This window comes from Homo sapiens, chromosome 19, assembly GCF_000001405.40.
Source record: "Homo sapiens chromosome 19, GRCh38.p14 Primary Assembly".
Taxonomy (NCBI): domain Eukaryota; kingdom Metazoa; phylum Chordata; class Mammalia; order Primates; family Hominidae; genus Homo; species Homo sapiens.
In genome coordinates, this window is record NC_000019.10 from 45,454,835 (window position 1) to 45,475,179 (window position 20,345).

General features: G+C 53.4%; 1 protein-coding gene across 4 annotated transcripts, besides 9 other annotated features; it reads left to right on the forward strand.

Moving 5' to 3' along the window:
* Positions 14 to 980: an enhancer, noted in NCBI's record as "H3K27ac-H3K4me1 hESC enhancer chr19:45958106-45959072 (GRCh37/hg19 assembly coordinates)". NCBI's record gives its function as "activates a minimal SCP1, AML or CMV promoter by ChIP-STARR-seq in naive H9 embryonic stem cells {active_cell/tissue: H9 hESC(naive)}" and the evidence as "EXISTENCE:reporter gene assay evidence [ECO:0000049][PMID:30033119]".
* Positions 14 to 992: a biological region, named in NCBI's record as "H3K27ac-H3K4me1 hESC enhancer GRCh37_chr19:45958106-45959072".
* Positions 743 to 992: an enhancer, noted in NCBI's record as "active region_14798". NCBI's record gives its function as "activates an Ori minimal core promoter by ATAC-STARR-seq in GM12878 lymphoblastoid cells {active_cell/tissue: GM12878}" and the evidence as "EXISTENCE:reporter gene assay evidence [ECO:0000049][PMID:35858748]".
* Positions 981 to 1,947: an enhancer, noted in NCBI's record as "H3K27ac-H3K4me1 hESC enhancer chr19:45959073-45960039 (GRCh37/hg19 assembly coordinates)". NCBI's record gives its function as "activates a minimal SCP1, AML or CMV promoter by ChIP-STARR-seq in naive H9 embryonic stem cells {active_cell/tissue: H9 hESC(naive)}" and the evidence as "EXISTENCE:reporter gene assay evidence [ECO:0000049][PMID:30033119]".
* Positions 9,854 to 10,354: an enhancer, noted in NCBI's record as "H3K4me1 hESC enhancer chr19:45967946-45968446 (GRCh37/hg19 assembly coordinates)". NCBI's record gives its function as "activates a minimal SCP1, AML or CMV promoter by ChIP-STARR-seq in primed H9 embryonic stem cells {active_cell/tissue: H9 hESC(primed)}" and the evidence as "EXISTENCE:reporter gene assay evidence [ECO:0000049][PMID:30033119]".
* Positions 10,355 to 10,855: an enhancer, noted in NCBI's record as "H3K4me1 hESC enhancer chr19:45968447-45968947 (GRCh37/hg19 assembly coordinates)". NCBI's record gives its function as "activates a minimal SCP1, AML or CMV promoter by ChIP-STARR-seq in primed H9 embryonic stem cells {active_cell/tissue: H9 hESC(primed)}" and the evidence as "EXISTENCE:reporter gene assay evidence [ECO:0000049][PMID:30033119]".
* Positions 12,799 to 13,078: a silencer, noted in NCBI's record as "silent region_10771". NCBI's record gives its function as "represses an Ori minimal core promoter by ATAC-STARR-seq in GM12878 lymphoblastoid cells {active_cell/tissue: GM12878}" and the evidence as "EXISTENCE:reporter gene assay evidence [ECO:0000049][PMID:35858748]".
* FOSB (FosB proto-oncogene, AP-1 transcription factor subunit) lies at positions 13,162 to 20,345 on the forward strand. Of its 4 annotated transcripts, NM_001411069.1 has the most exons (5): positions 13,162 to 13,878; positions 15,795 to 16,115; positions 16,360 to 16,467; positions 17,717 to 17,872; positions 18,013 to 20,345. In NM_001411069.1, exons 1-5 carry the CDS (start codon positions 13,753 to 13,755, stop codon positions 18,013 to 18,015), a joined length of 714 nt encoding a protein of 237 aa, NP_001397998.1. In that variant the 5' UTR covers positions 13,162 to 13,752; the 3' UTR covers positions 18,016 to 20,345. The 4 variants fall into 4 exon arrangements, with proteins under 4 accessions (NP_001397998.1, NP_006723.2, XP_047294506.1 ...); NM_006732.3 differs by having other exon boundaries at positions 17,717 to 20,345; XM_047438550.1 differs by lacking the exon at positions 16,360 to 16,467.
* Positions 13,263 to 14,164: an enhancer, noted in NCBI's record as "H3K27ac-H3K4me1 hESC enhancer chr19:45971355-45972256 (GRCh37/hg19 assembly coordinates)". NCBI's record gives its function as "activates a minimal SCP1, AML or CMV promoter by ChIP-STARR-seq in primed H9 embryonic stem cells {active_cell/tissue: H9 hESC(primed)}" and the evidence as "EXISTENCE:reporter gene assay evidence [ECO:0000049][PMID:30033119]".
* Positions 15,210 to 15,259: an enhancer, noted in NCBI's record as "active region_14799". NCBI's record gives its function as "activates an Ori minimal core promoter by ATAC-STARR-seq in GM12878 lymphoblastoid cells {active_cell/tissue: GM12878}" and the evidence as "EXISTENCE:reporter gene assay evidence [ECO:0000049][PMID:35858748]".

The following is a 20,345-nucleotide window of genomic DNA, read 5'->3' on the forward strand; positions in this document are numbered from 1 at the left end:
AATTAACCAGGCTTGGTGGTGTGTGCCTGTAATTCCAGCTACTCGGGAGGTTGAGGCAGGAGAATAACTTGAACCCGGGAGGTGTGGGTTGCAGTGAACCGAGATCATGCCACTGCACTCCAGCCTGGGCGACAGAGTGAGACTTTGTGTCAAAAACAATAATAATAATAATAATAATGCACTAGGTGCAGATACTGATAAAGGCTTTGTGAGGAATTTTCTTTCTTTCTTTTTTCTTTTTTTTTTGAGACAGAGTCTCACTCTCTTTCCTGGCTGGAGTGCAGTGGCACGATCTCGGCTCACTGCAACCTCCGCCTCCCGGGTTCAAGCGATTCTCCTGCCTCAGGCTCCCAAGTGGCTGGGATAACAGGTGCCCACCACTACGCCCAGCTAATTTTTTTTTTTTTTTTAGATAGGGTCTGGCTCTGGCTCTGTCATACAGGCTGGAGCACAGTGGCATGATGACAACCCACTGCAGCCTTGACCTCCTGGGCTTAAGTGATCCTCTTGCCTCAGCCTCCTGAGTAGCTGGGGCTACAGGCTTATTTTTTTGTAGAGATGGGGTCTCACTCTGTTGCCCAGGCTGGTCTCAAACTTCTGGGCTCAAGCAATCCTCCTGCCTTGGCTTCCCAAAGTGCTGGGTTTACAGGAGTGAGCCACCATGTCTGGCCATTTGAGGAAATTTTTATTTTTGTCTGTCTTGTTTCCTGCTCTGTCCCCAGCACCTAGAGTGTGTGACTGCAGTGTGTGTGTGTGTGTGTGTGTGTGTGTGTGTGTGTGTGTAGGTGTGCTGATTAAATATTTGAATGGCTGATTGAATGAACGAATGAATGTCATCCTACAACCACTTGTGAGTCCTGGTCTTAGGGGAAGGCTGGGCTGGGGCCCTGGCCTCTGGGATCCCTCTTGTGCCAGTCCCCCAGCCCTGCTGTTCCCACAGCTCTGTGCTGAAGAGGGCGTGGAGGGGGCCAGGGAAGGGAGTGTCAGGCAGCCAGCCGGCTGCCTGCCCTGGACAGCAGCCCAGAGTGTCTGCAGGAGGGAGAGGGTAGTTCAGGAGCCTGAGTCACCCTGGGAGAAACCCCAGCCACATACCTGGCCGCTGACATCACCCGGCCAGGGCACCCCCGGCAGCCTAGACAAGCTGACTGAATCACAGGCGGAATTCAGCCACCCCGGGCACGTGGCCTGCTGTGACCCCCCGCAACACCCCCGAGTGGCCGTCTGGCTGCGGGGGTTGGGCCGGGCACACAGGGGTCAGTGAGGGGGCATGGGGCCTGAGTCAGGGACAGGGTGGCTACAGCCAGAGACCACCCAGCCACAGGCGTCCATGTGGGGCAGGAAGGAGAAAGTTTGGGAAGGAGAGCCTGTGGGGAGGCCCTGGCGGGTGAGGAGGAAGCACGTGTGGGTGTGACGGGGAGGCTGCGGCTTGTGGGCAGCGGCTGGGCGACCCACAGGGGTGGGATGGGGTCTGAGTGTTTGCGCAGAGAATCACCAAATCGTAAGAGACTTGGTCGTAAGAGTCAGTCAGGAGGACAATGGAATCACCAATGTGCTTACACACGCAAAGGCACACACGCACACTCAACACCCGGCCTGGGGAGGCCCTGACTCCACCCACCCCAGGCCAGCGGGGCCTCACTACCCATAAGCCTGCAAGTTCCCTAAGGGACTGAGGCCTAAGGGACAGTTTCCTCATCTGTTGAGTGGGGGTATTAACAAGCATTATTAGGCCAGGCACAGTGACTCGTGAGGCAGAGGTAGGCGGATCCCTTGGAGGCCAGAAGTTCAAGACCAGCCTGGACATCATAGCAAGACCCCTTCTCTACAAAGAAAAAATTTAAAAATTAGCTGGATGTGGTGGTGTGCACCTGTAGTCCCAGGTACTCAGGAGGCTGTGGAGGGTGGATTGCTGGAGTGTTGGAGTTTGAGACTGCAGTGAGCTATTGATTGCACCACTGTACTCCAGCCTAGACAACAGAACAAGATCCTATAGCAAAAAAAAAAAAAAAAAAAAATCACTATTATTGTAATAGCTATGCTTACGGGGAACATACTTTCTGCCAGGTGCTGTTCTAGGCATTCTACATTTTTTTTTTTTAAATAATGGAGATGACGTCTCACTATGTTTCCCAGGCTGGTCTTGAACTCCTGAGCTCAGGCTATCCTCTCGCTTTTTTGGTGGCTGGCACGCCTGTAATCCCGACATTTTGGGAGGCCAAGGTGGGTGGATCGCCGGAGCCCAAGAGTTCGAGACCAGCCTGGGAAACATAGTGAGATGCCATCTCTACCAAAAAATCAAAAAATTAGCTAAGCATGGTGGCTCATGCCTGTAGTCCCAGCTACTCAGGATGCTGAGGTGGGAGGATCACTTGAACCTGGGAGATGGAAGTTGCAGTAAGCTGAGATTGTGCCACTGCACTCCAGCCTGGGTGACAGAATAAGACCTTGTCTCAAAAAAAAAAAAAAAAAAAAAAAAAGAAGAAGAAAAAAGAGAGTCAACTGCATCTGTATTTGTGGCACTTGGTACATACACGGTAAGCTTTCTCAAGTGACTCTGTTATGATTCTTAGTACTAAACATATTATTTTCCCTTTTTTTGTTTCTTTCTTTCTTTTTTTTTTTTTTTTCGGTGATGGAGTCTCACTCTGTTGCCCAGGCTGGAGTGCAGTGGTGCAATCTCGGCCCACTGCAACCTCCGCCTCCCAGGTTCAAGCGATTCTCCTGTCTCAGCCTCCCAAGTAGTAGGGATTACAGGACCCTACCACCATGCCCAGCTAATTTTTGTATTTTTAGAAGAGACGGGGTTTCACCATGTTGGTCAGGCTGGTCTCGAACTCCAGACCTTAGGTGATCCACCCACCTTGGCCTCCCACAGTGTTGGGATTACAGGCGTGAGCCACCGTGCCTGGCCAAATACACATTATTTTTATCCCTAAGTCCAACTAGGAAGGCCTCCAAAACAGTCACCCTCACTGCCTTGGTCCAGTTCTACTTCTTACCTCCCTGCAGTCCTTCCTGCTGCCTCTTCTTTGGTTATATATGTCTGTAGTAGGGAGAGAGTGCTTCAGGGACTCCCTCCTCATTCATAACTCTTCAGAACTCAATCATGATTATCTAGATCCACCTCCACCAGGAAGTCCTCCTGGCTTACTCCAGCCTCACTAAGCACTCTCACCACCCAATGCCTGGAGTGGTTGTAGTCAGTGAGTGACACATTGCACAGTGTGTGCCCCCTGGATTGGGGGTGGGTGAGAGACAGCCCCCACAGTGAGTGGCACCCCTGGCCAGGGCCTGGGACAAGTCTGTATCCAAGGGTGGCTCTCTGCTTAGGTCTGTGTTTGTACCTGGGTGTGTCTGTGTCTGCCCTACTCTGTGCATACTCATATATGTGAACCCGTGTGTGTGTGTGTAGTTGTGAGTGTGTGTGGAAGAGGCTGCATGGCAGTGGAAGCTAGGTGTGTGATTCGTGTATCTGTGTGCCTAGAGTGCCTTGTTCTATAGATTTGGATGCCACTCCAAGCAAGTCAGTGGGTCTTTTTGTTTTTTGTTTTTTGAGATGGAATCTCACTCTGTTGCCCAGGCTGGAGTGCAGTGGCACGATCTTGGCTCACTGCAACCTCTACCTCCTGGGTTCAAGTGATTCTCCTGCCTCGGCCCCCCGAGTAGCTGGGATTACAGGTGCCCACCAATACACTCAGCTAATTTGTTGTATTTTTAGTAAAGATGGGGTTTCACCATGTTGGCCAGGCTGGTCTCAAACTCCTGACCTCATGATTCTCCTGCCTCGGCCTCCCAAAGTGCTGGGATTACAGGCATGAGCCACCGCGCCCGGCCAAGTCAGTGGGTCTTTAGGAGCTGTTTCGTACGGTGTGACTGTGAGTGAACCTTCGCACACGTGTCTGTACGGATATCTAAGAAATTCTTCAAGTAGGCCGGGCACAGTGGTTCAGGCCTGTAGCCTTAGCACTTTGGGAGGCCCAGGTGAGTGGATCGCTTGAGCTCAGGAGTTCGAGAACAGCCTGGGCAACATAGTGAGACTTCGTATCTACAAAAAATATGAAAATTAGCCAGGCATGACAGTGGGCACCTGTAGTCCCAGCTACTACTTGGGGGGCTGAGGCAGGAGGATCCCTTGAGCCTGGGAGGTGGAGGCTGCAGTGAGCTGAGATCGAGCCACTGCACTCCAGCCTGGGCGACAGAGGGAGACCCTGTCTCAAAAAAAAAGAAAAGAAAAGAAAAAAAGAAGACATTCTTCAAGTCCACAACTCTGAGGGTATCACTGTGAGAGCAGGGGTCCTAGCTCTACCCATTTGTGTGTGTGTGGAGATGTGTAAGTCTATGTAGACAAAAGTGTGTGTCATTTACTGTGTTTGGGGTGTGAACACCTATGTGATGTGTTTGCACAACTGCACGTGTTTTGTTCTGTGTGTGTGATCGTGTGTTCAAATAAGTCATCTTGTCGCCGGGCGTGGTCGCTCATGCCTATAATCCCAGCACTTTGGGAGGCCTAGGCAGGAGGACCATTGAGCCCAGGAGGTCCAGACTGCAGTGAGCCGAGATTGCGCCACTGCACTCCAGCCTGGGCGACAGCAAGACCTTGTCTCAAAACAAAAGCAAAAACAAAAATAAACAAATAGTCATCAGGTGCCTGCACAGACAAAGGTGAAAGGTGTCTGCCTGTTGAGATCTGTGGATAGGGTGTATATATGGACATCTCAGCCTGTCTACGTGTGTATCTGTCTCTGTCCTCACGGCAAAAGAGAGGTTGGCCGGGTGTGTGGTGGCTCACGCCTGTAATCCCAGCACTTTGGGAGGCTGAGGCGGGCGGATCACCTGAGGTGAGGAGTTCAAAACCAGCCTGGCCAACATGGCGAAACTCCATCTCTTCTAAAAATACAAAAAAATTAACCGGGCGTGGTGGCACACGCTTGTAATCCCAGCTACTCAGGGAGGCTGAGGCATTAGAATTGCTTGAACCCAGGAGGTGGAGGTTGCAGTGAGCCAAGATTGCGCCACTGGACTCCAGCCTGGGCAACAGAACAAGACTCCGTCTCAAAAAAAAAAAAAAAAAAAAAAAGAGGCTCAGATATGTTTCTGTCTGAGAGTCTGTCAGAGTTTAGGAATTAGTAAATGAATGAATGGTGAAGATCCATTTACTCAACAAACATTTATTTATTTATTTATTTATTGAGACAGAGTCTCGCTCTGTCACCCAGGATGGAGTGCAGTGGCGCAATCTCGGCTCACTGAAGCCTCTGCCTCCTGGGTTTAAGAGAGTCTTGTGCCTCAGCCACCAAGTAGCTGGGATTACAGGTGTGTGCCACTGCGCCCAGCTAATTTTTGTATATTTAGTAGAGATGGGGTTTCACCATGTTGCCCAGGCTGGTCTCGAACTCCTGGCCTGAAGTGATCTGCTCACCTCAGTCTCCCAATATGCTGGGATTACAGGCATGAGCCACCAGTCCTGCCTCATTTATTCTTATATTATATTATATTGTTTTTATTTTAAATTTTTTTGTAGTGACAGGGTCTTACTATGTTGACTGGGCTGGCCTCAAACTGGCCTCAAGTGATTCTCCTGCCTCAGCCTCCCAAAGTGCTGGGATTACAGGCATGAGCCACTGTGCCTGGCTTGAACAAATATTTAATAACCACCTATTGGGTACCACGTGCTATGCTGGGGACAAGGCAGTGACCGGGATGGTTTTGGCCGAGCTTTCACCCAGCTCACAACCCAATGAGGGAGACAAACCTATCCCCAGACAATGATGAGCCCAGATTGGCAGAGTTGGAGGGAGGGACCCCAGGAGAGGGGGCCTTGACTCAGCCTGGAGATCAGGGAGGGCTTCCTGGAGGAGAGGTTATGGGAGTTAAGACTTGGAGGAAAAGACTATGAGCCACAGGAAGCGAAGGGAAGAGTGACCCAGGCAGAGGGAAAAGCACCTGCAAAGGCCTGAAGTCCAGGGAGAGAGGCCAGGCATCTGGAACACAACGGGGAGAGGAGAGACGAGACTAGGGCACCCTCGGAGCAGGTCGTTCAGGGCCTCAGGAGCCATGGGGAGGAGTATAATGCAGGATGCAGGGGTACTGGGAGGGTCAAGCTAACAGTGTCCAATCTGGGTTACTCTGCTTCCCTGAAACTCCAGGGACATCTCCTCCAGGAAGCCCTAGGGATTGCTCAGTGTGGAGCGGCTCAGCCACCCAGTCACACTCACTATTCAATGCTGAGCACTGAGGAGGCAGCCGTTACTAAATCAGCCTGGATTTGCCCTCCCAGAGGTCACAGTCACAACAGTCAAACACACACCTGCACGTGCACACTCATGAACGTGCCCCTCCCCTCCTCTGGAGCCTCAGAAACCCACAGACCTTGTTCCTCCCAGGGGGTGTCCCTGGGGCCAAAGCTTCTGCACTACCAGGGGGCTTGTTGGAAATGCAAAAGATGGCTGGGCACAGTGGCTCACACCTGTAATCCCAGCAGTTTGGGAAGCTGAGGCAGGCAGATCATTTGAGGTCAGGAGTTCATTTGAGGTTGGGAGTTCAAGACCAGCTTGGCCAACATAGCGAAACTCTGTCTCTACTAAAAATACAAAAAAATTAGCCGGGCGTGGTAGCACACGCCTGTAATCCCAGCTACTTGGGAGGCTGAGGCAGGAGAATCTTTTGAACCCGAGAGGTGAAGGCTGCAGTGAGCCAAGATGGCACCACTGCACTCCAGCCTGGGTGACAGAGTGAGTCTTAAAAAAATAATAATAAAATAGGCTGGGCGCGGTGGCTCACGCCTGTAATCCCAGCACTTTGGGAGGCTGAGGCAGGCGGATCACCTGAGGTCAGGAGTTCGAGACCAGCCTGACCAAAATAGTGAAACCCCGTCTCTACTAAAAATACAAAAAAATTTAGCTGGGCGTAGTGGCTAACGCCTGTAATCCCAGCTACAGGCTGAGGCAGGAAAATTGCTTGAACCCAGGGGTGCAGAGGTTGCAGTGAGCCAAGATGGCACCATTGCACTCCAGCCTGGGCAACAACAGTGAAACTCCGTCTCAAAAAACAAAATACAAAAATTAGCCAGGCATGGTGGCACACACCTGTAATCCCAGCTACTCGGGAGGCTGAGGCAGGAGAATCACTTGAACCCGGGAGGCAGAGGTTGCAGTGAGCTGAGATCGTGCCACTGCACTCAAGCCTGTGTAACAAGAGTGAAATTCCGTCTCAAAATAAAATAAAATAATAAAAATAAAAAGATGACCACAGCAGATCTGCTGGCTCTCCAGGCAATTCGTGATCACCACGAATTGAGAAGCGCTGCTCTCAGGCTTAACCCCCCTGTACCTCAGTTTCCTTTTCTGTACAAGGAGATCAAAACAGAATCCATGTAGAGGACTGACGTGGAGTGAGGCTTAACTGAGATAATGAGTGTGAAAGTGCTAAGCACAGCTTCCTAAGTGCTTGTTTTCAGCAGCTCCTCTTCCTCTTTTCTATTTTTTTATTTTTATTTTTTTTGGGGGGGGAACAGGGTCTCGCTCTGTTGCCCAGGCTGGAGTATAGTGGCAGAGTCATAGCTCACTGCAACCTCAATCTCTCAGGGCTCAAGTGATGCCCGTGCCTCAGCCTCCTGAGTGGCTGGGACTACAGGTGTGTGCCACCATGCCCAGCTAATTTTTAAATTTCTTGTAGAGGTTGGGGGTGGGTCTCACTATGTTGCCCAGGCTGGTCTTGTACTCCTGGCCTCTGGCGATCCTCTTACCTAGGCCTCCCAAAGTGCTGGGATTACAGGCGTGAGCCACCACACCCAGCCCTCCTCCTCCTCTGTATTATTAAATTTCAGAGCTGGAAAGAAATTTCGAAGACCGCCATCACTCAACCTTCTTGCTCTACAGATGGGGGAACTGAGGAACAGAGGAGCAGAGGTTTGGCCAGAGGAAGGTGGGAAGGACGTGGTGTGGCTGGCCTTCACAGACTCTGCCGGGGGCTGTTTACAGGATACTCTGAGGAAAGCCAGGATGGGCACTGATACCCACCTCCACCCTGCGGGAGGCAGAAGGCTAAGGCTCCCCCAGCCGTCTCCCCCAAGCAGAGCTGAGCCCTTGGGAGCCAGGGCAGAGATGCAACCCTCTCCCCCATGCTCAGGTCCTCCTCCTCCTGGAAGCTCTCCTTCCAAGAGGAGCCTCTTATTTTATTTTTTATTATTATTATTTTTGAGACAAGGTCTCACTTTGTCACCCAGGCTGGAAGTGCCGTGGCATGATCATGGCTCACTGAAGCCTTGCCCTCCCCAAGCTCAAGTGATCCTCTCACCTCAGCCTCCCAAATAGCTGAGACTACAGGCACACGCCACCACCCCTGGCTAGTTTTTGTATTTTTAGTAGAGATGGGGTCTTGCCATTGTCCAGGCTGGTCTTGAACTCCCGGGCTCAAGTGATCTGCCCACCTTGGCCTCCCAAAGTGCTGGGATTACAGGCATGAGACACTGAGCCTGGCAAGGAATGAGCCTTATGGAGAAGAACTTGATTTACCCACTCCATGCTCTGCAGGCAGGTGTGTCATGTCTGTGAGTGCAGGTGTGTGTGTGTGTGTGTATGTGTGTGTGTGTGTGTCTCCAGGGCCAATTTCTCCCTTAGGCCCAGGGGCACAGTGCCTAGGGCCCATGATAAATTTAACCGACCCACGGATATGGGTCAGGAGGGTATACATGTATAAAGTTCAGGAAGACTTTGTTTTAGTAACAAAACGAGCATGTACAATCTGTCAGGAGCCTTATGATATCTTCCCACCAGTCTCATGAGTGGGCACTACATCTTGTTCTCCTTTGTCGGGTAGGGAAACTGAGGCCCCGGATGTCCTAGCTCAAGTTCACCAAGCTACTTGGTGATAGAAGCGGAACATAAGCCTAGGCCACCTAGCTTCTGGGTCTGCGATCGTGTGAGGATAAATGCCCAGTGTGTTCGTGAACATGAGCATCCCTGTGTGAATAAATTGACATACATAAACCCATTTAATAAATTTCAAAGCCAGGCGCCGTGGCTTACTCCTGCAATCTCAGCGCTCTGGGAGGCTGAGGTGGGAGGATCGCTTGAAGCCAGGAGTTTGAGATCAGCCTGCAACAAAGTGAGACCCTGACTCTAAAAACATTTTTTTGAATAAAAAAATTAGGCTGGACACAGTGGCTCACGCCTGTAATCCCAGCACTTTGGGAGGCCAAGGTGGGTGGATCACTTGAGGTCAGGAGTTTGAGACCAGCCTGGTCAACAGGGTGAAACCCTTTCTCTACTAAAAATAGAAAAATTAGCCAGGCGTGGTGGCACATGCCTGTAATCCCACCTACTGGGGAGGCTGAGGCCGGAAAATTGCTTGAATCTGGGAGGTAGAGGTTGCAGTGAGCCAAGATCATGCCATTGCACTCCAGCCTGGGCGAAGAAACGAGACTCTGTCTCAAAAAAAAAAAAAAAAAATTAGTCAAGCATGGTGGTACGCACCTGTAGTTGTTAGTTACTTGGGAGGCTGAAGCAGGAGGATTACTTGAGGCCAGGAGTTCGAGGTTACAGTGAACTATGATTGCATCACTGCACTCTAGCCTGGATGACAGAGCAAGATCCTATCTCAAAATAATACTAATAGTTCAAGGAACAGACTTTGAAGCCTGACACCCTGCATGGTGTTATTCCAGCTTTGCTACTTACTTGCTGTGTGACTCTGGGTGAATAACTTAACCTCTCTGGGCTTCTGTTTCCCTTCCTGTAAAATGATCATTTGTACCTCACAGGAGTGTTGTGAGAATTAAATAAGTTAATATAAGCTCTTGGGAAGAATTAGCTCTTGTTATGGTTGTGTGAAGAGCTTTACACGAGTCCCTCTGCAGGATGCATGGTTGTTGGTCTGTGTGTGTGTATATATATATATGTGTGTGTGTATGTGTGTATCTATGTGTATATGTGTATATGTGTGTGTTGCTCTCTTGATCTCTGAGTGTTGTGTGTGTGTCAATGTGTGAGATCATATATGCACCTTTAGTAAAGATCTAGGGGTCTCTGTGTGTTTTGGGGGTCTGTACCTGTCCTTGGCTGTACACCTGAACCCTACGTCTTCTTGTGTGTGTAGGGATGTGTGTCATGTGTGTTGATAACCATATGACAGTGTGTGTTTCCACATGCCAGTGTGTGTCTGTGAAGCTGTTTCTATGTGGCTGTGGGTGATTGCCCACGCGTGACCTGGTGAGCGGCTGTGTGGAAGTCTGTGTTGCCTGTGTCGGGTGTGGAGTCTCTGGCCAGCCAGGGTAGGTCTTTGCATGTTTCCTTTATTCCATGGAGGAGGAGATGAGGGGCTTGGATGAGACAGAAGAATGAGGGGTCACTCCCTGTCTGATGCTGGGGCCGAGTCACTGCCTACTAGTGGCTGCTGTGTCATCTCCCAGTCTCTGTCCCTCCCTCCTGGCTGGTGGCAGACAGAGGGGGCGTGGAGGAACAGGGCAGGGGGTGGGCTTGAGGCTGGACTTTTGTCTGGAAACTTGAACCTCCACCTATGCCCCCCACGTCCCTCTAGTCTTCCACATCTCCCTACACCCTCCCTACTATTGGGGCAGGGAATCAGGACTCCCTGAAAATTAAGAACCATCGCCTTGGCTCTGCCACAGGCTTGCTGTGTAGCCCGGAGACAGGCCCTGCCCCTCTCTCAACCTGTGAAATTCAATGTTTTAAAAGTGCTTCTTCCTTTGTGCCCAGGGCTGGGCCAGGCTGTGCACTGGGAGGGAAGTGCTGGGTTCTCTGAGGTTTGTGAAATAGCTGGTAGCACCCTTCCCAGTGGGTGCTTAAGAGTTGGGGGCTGTAGCATCTGAAATACCCAAGTCAGTGCAGGCATAGTGGCTCATGCCTGTAATCCCAGCACTTTGGGAGACCGAGGCAGGCGGATCACCTGAGGTTGGGAGTTCGAAACCAGCCTGGCCAACATGGTGAAACCCCCATCTCTATTAAAAATACAAAAGTTAGGCCGGGCACAGTGGCTTACGCCTGTAATCCCAGCATTTAAGAAGGCCAAGGCGGGAGGATCACCTGAGTTTGGGAGTTTGAGAGCAGCCTGACCAATATGGAGAAACTCTGTCTCTACTAAAAATACAAAAAAACTAGCCAGGCATGGTGGCACATGCCTGTAATCCCAGCTACTCGGGAGGCTGAGGCAGGAGAAGCACTTCAACCCGGGAGGCGGAGGTTGCGGTGAGCCGAGATCGTGCCATTGCACTCCAGCCTGGGCAACAAGAGCAAAACTCTGTCTCAAAAAACAAAACAGAACAAAACAAAAATTAGCCAGGTGTGGTGGCGCACACCTGTAATCCCAGCTACTCGGGAGGCTGAGGCAGGAGAATCACTTGAACCCAGGAGATGTAGGCTGCAGTGAGCCGAGATTGTGGCACTGCACTCCAGCCTGGGCAACAGAGTGAGACTCTGTCAAAAAAAAAAAAAAAAAACGTCAGATTCATGAACCCCATTTGCTAAGAAGATTTGCTCAGGTAGTCACCTGTACCCCTGTGAGCCAAGATTGCAACAGTACATGCTAAGAGCAGTAAGAAGGAGATTGTAAAGCTTAGAAAGACCTGACAGGCCAGGCGCTGTGGCTCACGCCTGTAATCTCGACACTTCGGGAGGCCGAGGCAGGCGGATCACCAGGTCAGGAGTTCAAGACCATCCTGACCAATATGGTGAAACCCCGTCTGTACTAAACATATAAAAATTAGCTTGACGTGGTGGCCCGCGCCTGTAGTCCAGCAACTCGAGAGGCTAAGGTGAGGCGGAGGTTGCAGTGAGCCGAGATCGCCACTGCACTCCAGCCTGGCGGCAGAGCAAGACTCCGTCTCAAAAAAAAAAAAAAAAAAAAAAAAAAAAAGACCTGACAAGTGAAAGCTACTAATATTGCCATTATCATTTAAAAAAACCCCAGACACAGGTTTTTCAGGGAGTTTCATCCAACCAGGCAGGTCTCAGAAATCAGAAAAGAAATGGAAAGGGTAGGAAATCTGGAGTTTGACAATTCTGAGTTTGAATTTCTTGTGATGGGATCTTGGGCAAGTCATTTAACCTCCCTGAGTATCATTTTTTTCTTTTATAAAATGAAGATTTTTCTCTCTTAACCTTCCAGAGCTGTTTTAAGGATTACAAATCTTCTACTGAAAGGCGTAGCACAGGAGCTGTGCTTGGCAAGTGCCAAATACAAGGCATTAATTATTATTATTAGAATTAATAATAATATCCCCTCCCTCTTACACATTCTTTGTCTCCGGGTGGATTAAAAGGTGGAAGGAGAGGCTACCAACACCATCAGAAGAGAGGCTTCTCTCTAAGTTTCATTTCCCATCTCCTCCAAATCCGCATCCCTCCCAAACGCCGGACCTGTAAGGCCAGCAGGGTCCAAGACACACATCCTTTGCCCAGCGGGGAAGATTAAAGCTAAAGCTCAGAGAGGGAAAACATTTCCTAAGCTCGCACAGCGAATCAGGACAGAAACCAGGACGAGCCTCGGAATCCCTCCATTACCTCCACTTTCACCTGAGCATCACAGCCCGCTCGGGACTCAGTTTCCCCACCTACGTGACCACACCACACTAATCAGGGTCTCCTTTTGGAGATCTGCTCTTCTTCTCGAATGGGGGCGCTGCACCATCGGTAGAACAGGGTAGGTGGGGGCGCCAGAGGTGAAGGGGACCTGCAGGCTGGGGTCTTCCCCGCCCGGGTCAGCGGGGTCCCTGCGGGGCTAGTCTAAGCGCCTATTATTACCAGCCCCCGGGGCGGCGTTGCACTGCGCAGGCGCGGGCGGGGCGCGGGCGCGCGCGCGAGCGAGCGAGGGATTCCCTCTGACGTCATTGCTAGGATACCAAACAAACACTCCGCCGCGCCGGCCGAGCTCCTTATATGGCTAATTGCGTCACAGGAACTCCGGGAAGGCGGGGCCGGGATCCCCTCCCGCCGAGTGGCCCGGAACGCAACCCCCGAGACCCCCAGGGCCCCGAGGGTCATGCAAGTGACCAGATCGAGTCTAGAACAGACCTCTTGCTGGACAGTGCGGGACTCGATTTGGCGGGGCCGGAGATTTGGGGAAGTTTGTCCAGCAAGGGGCGGGTGACGTAAGCAGGGGGGCGGGTCCCGGGCATATAAATACAGGCTGGCGGGTCTGTGCTTCATTCATAAGACTCAGAGCTACGGCCACGGCAGGGACACGCGGAACCAAGACTTGGAAACTTGATTGTTGTGGTTCTTCTTGGGGGTTATGAAATTTCATTAATCTTTTTTTTTCCGGGGAGAAAGTTTTTGGAAAGATTCTTCCAGATATTTCTTCATTTTCTTTTGGAGGACCGACTTACTTTTTTTGGTCTTCTTTATTACTCCCCTCCCCCCGTGGGACCCGCCGGACGCGTGGAGGAGACCGTAGCTGAAGCTGATTCTGTACAGCGGGACAGCGCTTTCTGCCCCTGGGGGAGCAACCCCTCCCTCGCCCCTGGGTCCTACGGAGCCTGCACTTTCAAGAGGTACAGCGGCATCCTGTGGGGGCCTGGGCACCGCAGGAAGACTGCACAGAAACTTTGCCATTGTTGGAACGGGACGTTGCTCCTTCCCCGAGCTTCCCCGGACAGCGTACTTTGAGGACTCGCTCAGCTCACCGGGGACTCCCACGGCTCACCCCGGACTTGCACCTTACTTCCCCAACCCGGCCATAGCCTTGGCTTCCCGGCGACCTCAGCGTGGTCACAGGGGCCCCCCTGTGCCCAGGGAAATGTTTCAGGCTTTCCCCGGAGACTACGACTCCGGCTCCCGGTGCAGCTCCTCACCCTCTGCCGAGTCTCAATATCTGTCTTCGGTGGACTCCTTCGGCAGTCCACCCACCGCCGCCGCCTCCCAGGTAAGTTTTTGATAGTAGGGGTGCTGCTTTGTAGGTTTTATTTTTTAAGTCAAGGGTGAAAAGAATAAACCCCAACCCCCACAAAAAGGCGCATCAGAACCCTAGATCTGAGATGGAAAAGGCTCACAGCGCACTTTGCAAACTGCAAAGAGTCGGGAGATGTTTGCAATTGGTTGCGTGCGTGGAGCGCAAGGAGGGAACGCGGCAGGGAGGGTAGGCTTTGGGGCGAGGTGGGGGTGGGGTGGGTAATGCGCTGCTCAATGCAACGTGTATGCGGTAGCGGGGCTGAGAACTTTGAGCCGGCCCCGGGACTGCCCCCTGCTCGGGTCCCAGACCTGAAGCTAGCGCAGTTAGGCAGGTGGGGGAAATCCCGGGGAAGCTTCCAGCAGTCTCTTTTCCTTTCCTCCTCCTTCGGAGCGCCCACTTCGGTGCCGGGTCGCCCTCCACCCATCGGGAAGAGGGGCCTCGAACCCTCAGCCGCGCTGCCTCCGCCTCCTGCGCGGAGACGTAACGGGGGACCCGTGCGTAACGGCTGACGCGCTGGAATCCTCCGTCTGACGCGGGGCACGCACGGCGCGCGGCGCCCCCTTCGTCCGCCCCGCCCCTGACGTCCCGGGAGCGTTCTATTTTGGAACGCCGGGGCCACGTTGCTAAGGGAGGGGGCAGCCCGGCGTTTCGATTGGCCGCCGGGGCGCACGCCTTGGCCAATCAGCTTTCCCTTCCTATTTGTAGGGTGCATTTTCCTTCCCCCCTCTCTGTCCCCGGAACCCGTGGTTCCTTGGCGGCTGGGTCTCTTTTCGGCGCCTCTAGAGGCAGAGGGAGGGGATCCCTGTCGTGACAAGAGCGCCTGTCTGCGACCCAATGGATCTGCGAGGCCCTTGCGGGGATCTAGTCCCTGGGCTCTCAGGAGAAGGGGGTGTCTGCTTGTGTGCTGGCGTTTCTTGGAGAGATACGGTGGCTGTCACCCTCTTCTCCAGGCACACACAGACACATTCCCACTCCCTCTGCTCCTCATGCCCGGTTCCTCCGGTGTGTCCCAAGACAGGACTAGAACCGCGAACCGAAGGGCAACCAGCCAGGTGGTCTCCAGGAGCTCCGCCCCCTCTGGGTTCCCAGGACTCTGATTGGTCGGCGAGCCAGCCCTTCCCTCACCACGCCCCCCGAGAGAGTAGTTAAGCCTTCAGAGCAGTTCCAGGAGTCCATTTACGGGAGGGGGGAGATGAGCGCTGCTGAGGCTTGGGGGCTCAGGTCCCGCACCATTCCCCCTCCGCGACAATCTGAGAGAGCTCCAGTGGTTACTTTTATCTACCTGTCCGTTCACCCTAAACTGTCACTCGTCAGTCTCACTCTGAGAAGAGACAGTAACTTGAAACGTTGTTCTAAACTCCTAGGCCCGTCCCCCAAACACCCTTTTGACTGGGACCCCCGCCCCTGCATGGGACCTCGCGCAGAGGGGGGTGTGTATGTGTGTGAGTGTAGAGGAAGGCTTGGCCTAAGGCCTCTCCTTCTCCCTCCCCTTGCCTCTGGGGTGGGGGTGGGGTGTTGTGGCTGTGTGTGTGGCTGTGGCTCCGTCCCGGGGGTTCTGTCACCCGGCTGTGTCCAGCCTCCTCTCCACCCCCCATACCTAAGAGTCACCAACCCGGGGTGTGATTCACCACCCGCTGGAACCGTGCAACCTTTCCCCGAGGAAGAAGGAGGAGGTAGAAGCCAGTTGAGCAGAAATCCTCTCATTAACCACTGCGTCACGGTGTAGTGGAAGGGTGGGTGTTGTGGCTTTTTCCCTGTGACACACACATCCACACTCGCTCACCCTGTGCTCACTCACGGGGTCGGTGTGTGTTATGTGTGTTGGGTGTGTGTGTGTCGGTGTCTTTGTTTGTGTGTCTACGCCTGTGTGTGTATGTGTCACCCCGTAGGAGTGCGCCGGTCTCGGGGAAATGCCCGGTTCCTTCGTGCCCACGGTCACCGCGATCACAACCAGCCAGGACCTCCAGTGGCTTGTGCAACCCACCCTCATCTCTTCCATGGCCCAGTCCCAGGGGCAGCCACTGGCCTCCCAGCCCCCGGTCGTCGACCCCTACGACATGCCGGGAACCAGCTACTCCACACCAGGCATGAGTGGCTACAGCAGTGGCGGAGCGAGTGGCAGTGGTGGGCCTTCCACCAGCGGAACTACCAGTGGGCCTGGGCCTGCCCGCCCAGCCCGAGCCCGGCCTAGGAGACCCCGAGAGGAGACGGTGAGTAAGGGACATCAGAACTTGGCCTGGGTAGGGGGAAGCAAGAGAGGCAGGAAGTTTCTTATGAATGGAGGGGGGCTCCACTAAGGCCTCAGTGTTACAGAAACCCCAAGATCCTTGCTACACGAGCGAGGACCGGAGGCTTGTTTTTTGGCTCTTGGGGGTTCTGAAAGAAGTAGAGGTTCGGGATGGGTGGAGGAGTGCTGTATCCCCAAATCTCATGGCCTCTATCTCCCTGACTCAGCTCACCCCAGAGGAAGAGGAGAAGCGAAGGGTGCGCCGGGAACGAAATAAACTAGCAGCAGCTAAATGCAGGAACCGGCGGAGGGAGCTGACCGACCGACTCCAGGCGGTGAGGACAGGCCCTGGGGTGGGAGAGGGGATGTTGAGGGGAGCTCTCTCCCCATTCTCTGCCCCCTCTCCACCTGTACCCTTATCCTGGGTTGAGAACTAGACGTTCCACACATGGAACTAGGTACTGCTGTGGCCAGACTGGGTAGCCCAGGGCACAAACACAGACCCCCATGGACTTAAGTCAACTCCTGGTCCCCCCCCCATTTCCTGACCCCACGGACTACTCTCCTAGCCTTCATTTCATCCCAAGGGGCCACATGGGGCCCTTGAGGAGAGGGGCGCCCCCATCATTTCTCCCATCTGGTCTTCAGCAAGTAACAACCCATTTTGCCTCAGTTTCTCCATCTCTGCAAACCCTCATCAAATCTCCCGGGCTCTTTCTACCCTTAACACTCTGGAAAGCCTGTGAAATGAAATTATTCCACCTCCTGCCCTAGCCACCCACAGCTCTCCTGGTGCTGGTGGCATCCCCCAAAACCCACTCCCTTCCTACGTCCTCCCTTGGTCTGAGAGTTCCCTGCTGTATGCCTGCAGGGTGAGCTGTTACTCCTTGAGGGAACAAGGGAATTGTCAACTTTCCTTCTCTACTTTTTCTCTTCCCCGGGAGGTAGAGAGGGAGGGGTAATAGAAGGGAACACATTAAAAACACATAACAGTGGCTCATGCCTGTGATCCCAGCACTTTGAGAGGCCAAGGCAGGAGGATTGCTTGAGCCCAGGAGTTTGAGACCAGCCTGGGAAACATAGGGAGGACTTGTCTCTACCAAGAAAAAAAAAAATTAGTTGGGCATGGTGGTGCACACCACTGTGGTCCCAGCTACTATGGAGGCTTTAGTGGGAGGATCGCTTGAGCCGAGGAGGTCCAGGCTGCAGTGAGCCATGATTGCACTATTGCACTCCAGCCTGGGGGACAGAGCGAGACTCTGGCTCAAAAGCAAAACAAAACCAACCACATAACGATTGTTCATTCATTCAACAAACCTCCTGCACACCAGAAACTTCCCCATAAACCTGGCCCCTTCTGTACCATCCTTTGGACAGATGGGGGAAACTGAGGTTCCTGGAAGGCAAGACCCTTGCCCCAACTCCCATGGCCACCAGGACTCCATCTCAGGAGGTGTTTTTTCTCAGCCCGGGGCTGCCTTCCAGCAGCAAGTCCAAGGGAGCCATGACCCGAGTTTCCCGGTCACTGACATGCTTTTTTCTCCTTCCTCTCTCTCTTCTGTGACCTGGCCTCCCTGGCCTCAGGAGACAGATCAGTTGGAGGAAGAAAAAGCAGAGCTGGAGTCGGAGATCGCCGAGCTCCAAAAGGAGAAGGAACGTCTGGAGTTTGTGCTGGTGGCCCACAAACCGGGCTGCAAGATCCCCTACGAAGAGGGGCCCGGGCCGGGCCCGCTGGCGGAGGTGAGAGATTTGCCGGGCTCAGCACCGGCTAAGGAAGATGGCTTCAGCTGGCTGCTGCCGCCCCCGCCACCACCGCCCCTGCCCTTCCAGACCAGCCAAGACGCACCCCCCAACCTGACGGCTTCTCTCTTTACACACAGTGAAGTTCAAGTCCTCGGCGACCCCTTCCCCGTTGTTAACCCTTCGTACACTTCTTCGTTTGTCCTCACCTGCCCGGAGGTCTCCGCGTTCGCCGGCGCCCAACGCACCAGCGGCAGTGACCAGCCTTCCGATCCCCTGAACTCGCCCTCCCTCCTCGCTCTGTGAACTCTTTAGACACACAAAACAAACAAACACATGGGGGAGAGAGACTTGGAAGAGGAGGAGGAGGAGGAGAAGGAGGAGAGAGAGGGGAAGAGACAAAGTGGGTGTGTGGCCTCCCTGGCTCCTCCGTCTGACCCTCTGCGGCCACTGCGCCACTGCCATCGGACAGGAGGATTCCTTGTGTTTTGTCCTGCCTCTTGTTTCTGTGCCCCGGCGAGGCCGGAGAGCTGGTGACTTTGGGGACAGGGGGTGGGAAGGGGATGGACACCCCCAGCTGACTGTTGGCTCTCTGACGTCAACCCAAGCTCTGGGGATGGGTGGGGAGGGGGGCGGGTGACGCCCACCTTCGGGCAGTCCTGTGTGAGGATTAAGGGACGGGGGTGGGAGGTAGGCTGTGGGGTGGGCTGGAGTCCTCTCCAGAGAGGCTCAACAAGGAAAAATGCCACTCCCTACCCAATGTCTCCCACACCCACCCTTTTTTTGGGGTGCCTAGGTTGGTTTCCCCTGCACTCCCGACCTTAGCTTATTGATCCCACATTTCCATGGTGTGAGATCCTCTTTACTCTGGGCAGAAGTGAGCCCCCCCCTTAAAGGGAATTCGATGCCCCCCTAGAATAATCTCATCCCCCCACCCGACTTCTTTTGAAATGTGAACGTCCTTCCTTGACTGTCTAGCCACTCCCTCCCAGAAAAACTGGCTCTGATTGGAATTTCTGGCCTCCTAAGGCTCCCCACCCCGAAATCAGCCCCCAGCCTTGTTTCTGATGACAGTGTTATCCCAAGACCCTGCCCCCTGCCAGCCGACCCTCCTGGCCTTCCTCGTTGGGCCGCTCTGATTTCAGGCAGCAGGGGCTGCTGTGATGCCGTCCTGCTGGAGTGATTTATACTGTGAAATGAGTTGGCCAGATTGTGGGGTGCAGCTGGGTGGGGCAGCACACCTCTGGGGGGATAATGTCCCCACTCCCGAAAGCCTTTCCTCGGTCTCCCTTCCGTCCATCCCCCTTCTTCCTCCCCTCAACAGTGAGTTAGACTCAAGGGGGTGACAGAACCGAGAAGGGGGTGACAGTCCTCCATCCACGTGGCCTCTCTCTCTCTCCTCAGGACCCTCAGCCCTGGCCTTTTTCTTTAAGGTCCCCCGACCAATCCCCAGCCTAGGACGCCAACTTCTCCCACCCCTTGGCCCCTCACATCCTCTCCAGGAAGGGAGTGAGGGGCTGTGACATTTTTCCGGAGAAGATTTCAGAGCTGAGGCTTTGGTACCCCCAAACCCCCAATATTTTTGGACTGGCAGACTCAAGGGGCTGGAATCTCATGATTCCATGCCCGAGTCCGCCCATCCCTGACCATGGTTTTGGCTCTCCCACCCCGCCGTTCCCTGCGCTTCATCTCATGAGGATTTCTTTATGAGGCAAATTTATATTTTTTAATATCGGGGGGTGGACCACGCCGCCCTCCATCCGTGCTGCATGAAAAACATTCCACGTGCCCCTTGTCGCGCGTCTCCCATCCTGATCCCAGACCCATTCCTTAGCTATTTATCCCTTTCCTGGTTTCCGAAAGGCAATTATATCTATTATGTATAAGTAAATATATTATATATGGATGTGTGTGTGTGCGTGCGCGTGAGTGTGTGAGCGCTTCTGCAGCCTCGGCCTAGGTCACGTTGGCCCTCAAAGCGAGCCGTTGAATTGGAAACTGCTTCTAGAAACTCTGGCTCAGCCTGTCTCGGGCTGACCCTTTTCTGATCGTCTCGGCCCCTCTGATTGTTCCCGATGGTCTCTCTCCCTCTGTCTTTTCTCCTCCGCCTGTGTCCATCTGACCGTTTTCACTTGTCTCCTTTCTGACTGTCCCTGCCAATGCTCCAGCTGTCGTCTGACTCTGGGTTCGTTGGGGACATGAGATTTTATTTTTTGTGAGTGAGACTGAGGGATCGTAGATTTTTACAATCTGTATCTTTGACAATTCTGGGTGCGAGTGTGAGAGTGTGAGCAGGGCTTGCTCCTGCCAACCACAATTCAATGAATCCCCGACCCCCCTACCCCATGCTGTACTTGTGGTTCTCTTTTTGTATTTTGCATCTGACCCCGGGGGGCTGGGACAGATTGGCAATGGGCCGTCCCCTCTCCCCTTGGTTCTGCACTGTTGCCAATAAAAAGCTCTTAAAAACGCA

Excerpts from the sequence above, each read along its gene's own strand:
- FOSB (NM_006732.3), top strand. The coding sequence starts at position 13,753 with ATGTTTCAGGCTTTCCCCGGAGACTACGACTCCGGCTCCCGGTGCAGC. Across the intron at positions 16,116-16,359 it reads GGAGACCCCGAGAGGAGACG|CTCACCCCAGAGGAAGAGGA; the intron begins GTGAGTAAGGGA and ends TCCCTGACTCAG. Across the intron at positions 16,468-17,716 it reads TGACCGACCGACTCCAGGCG|GAGACAGATCAGTTGGAGGA; the intron begins GTGAGGACAGGC and ends CCCTGGCCTCAG.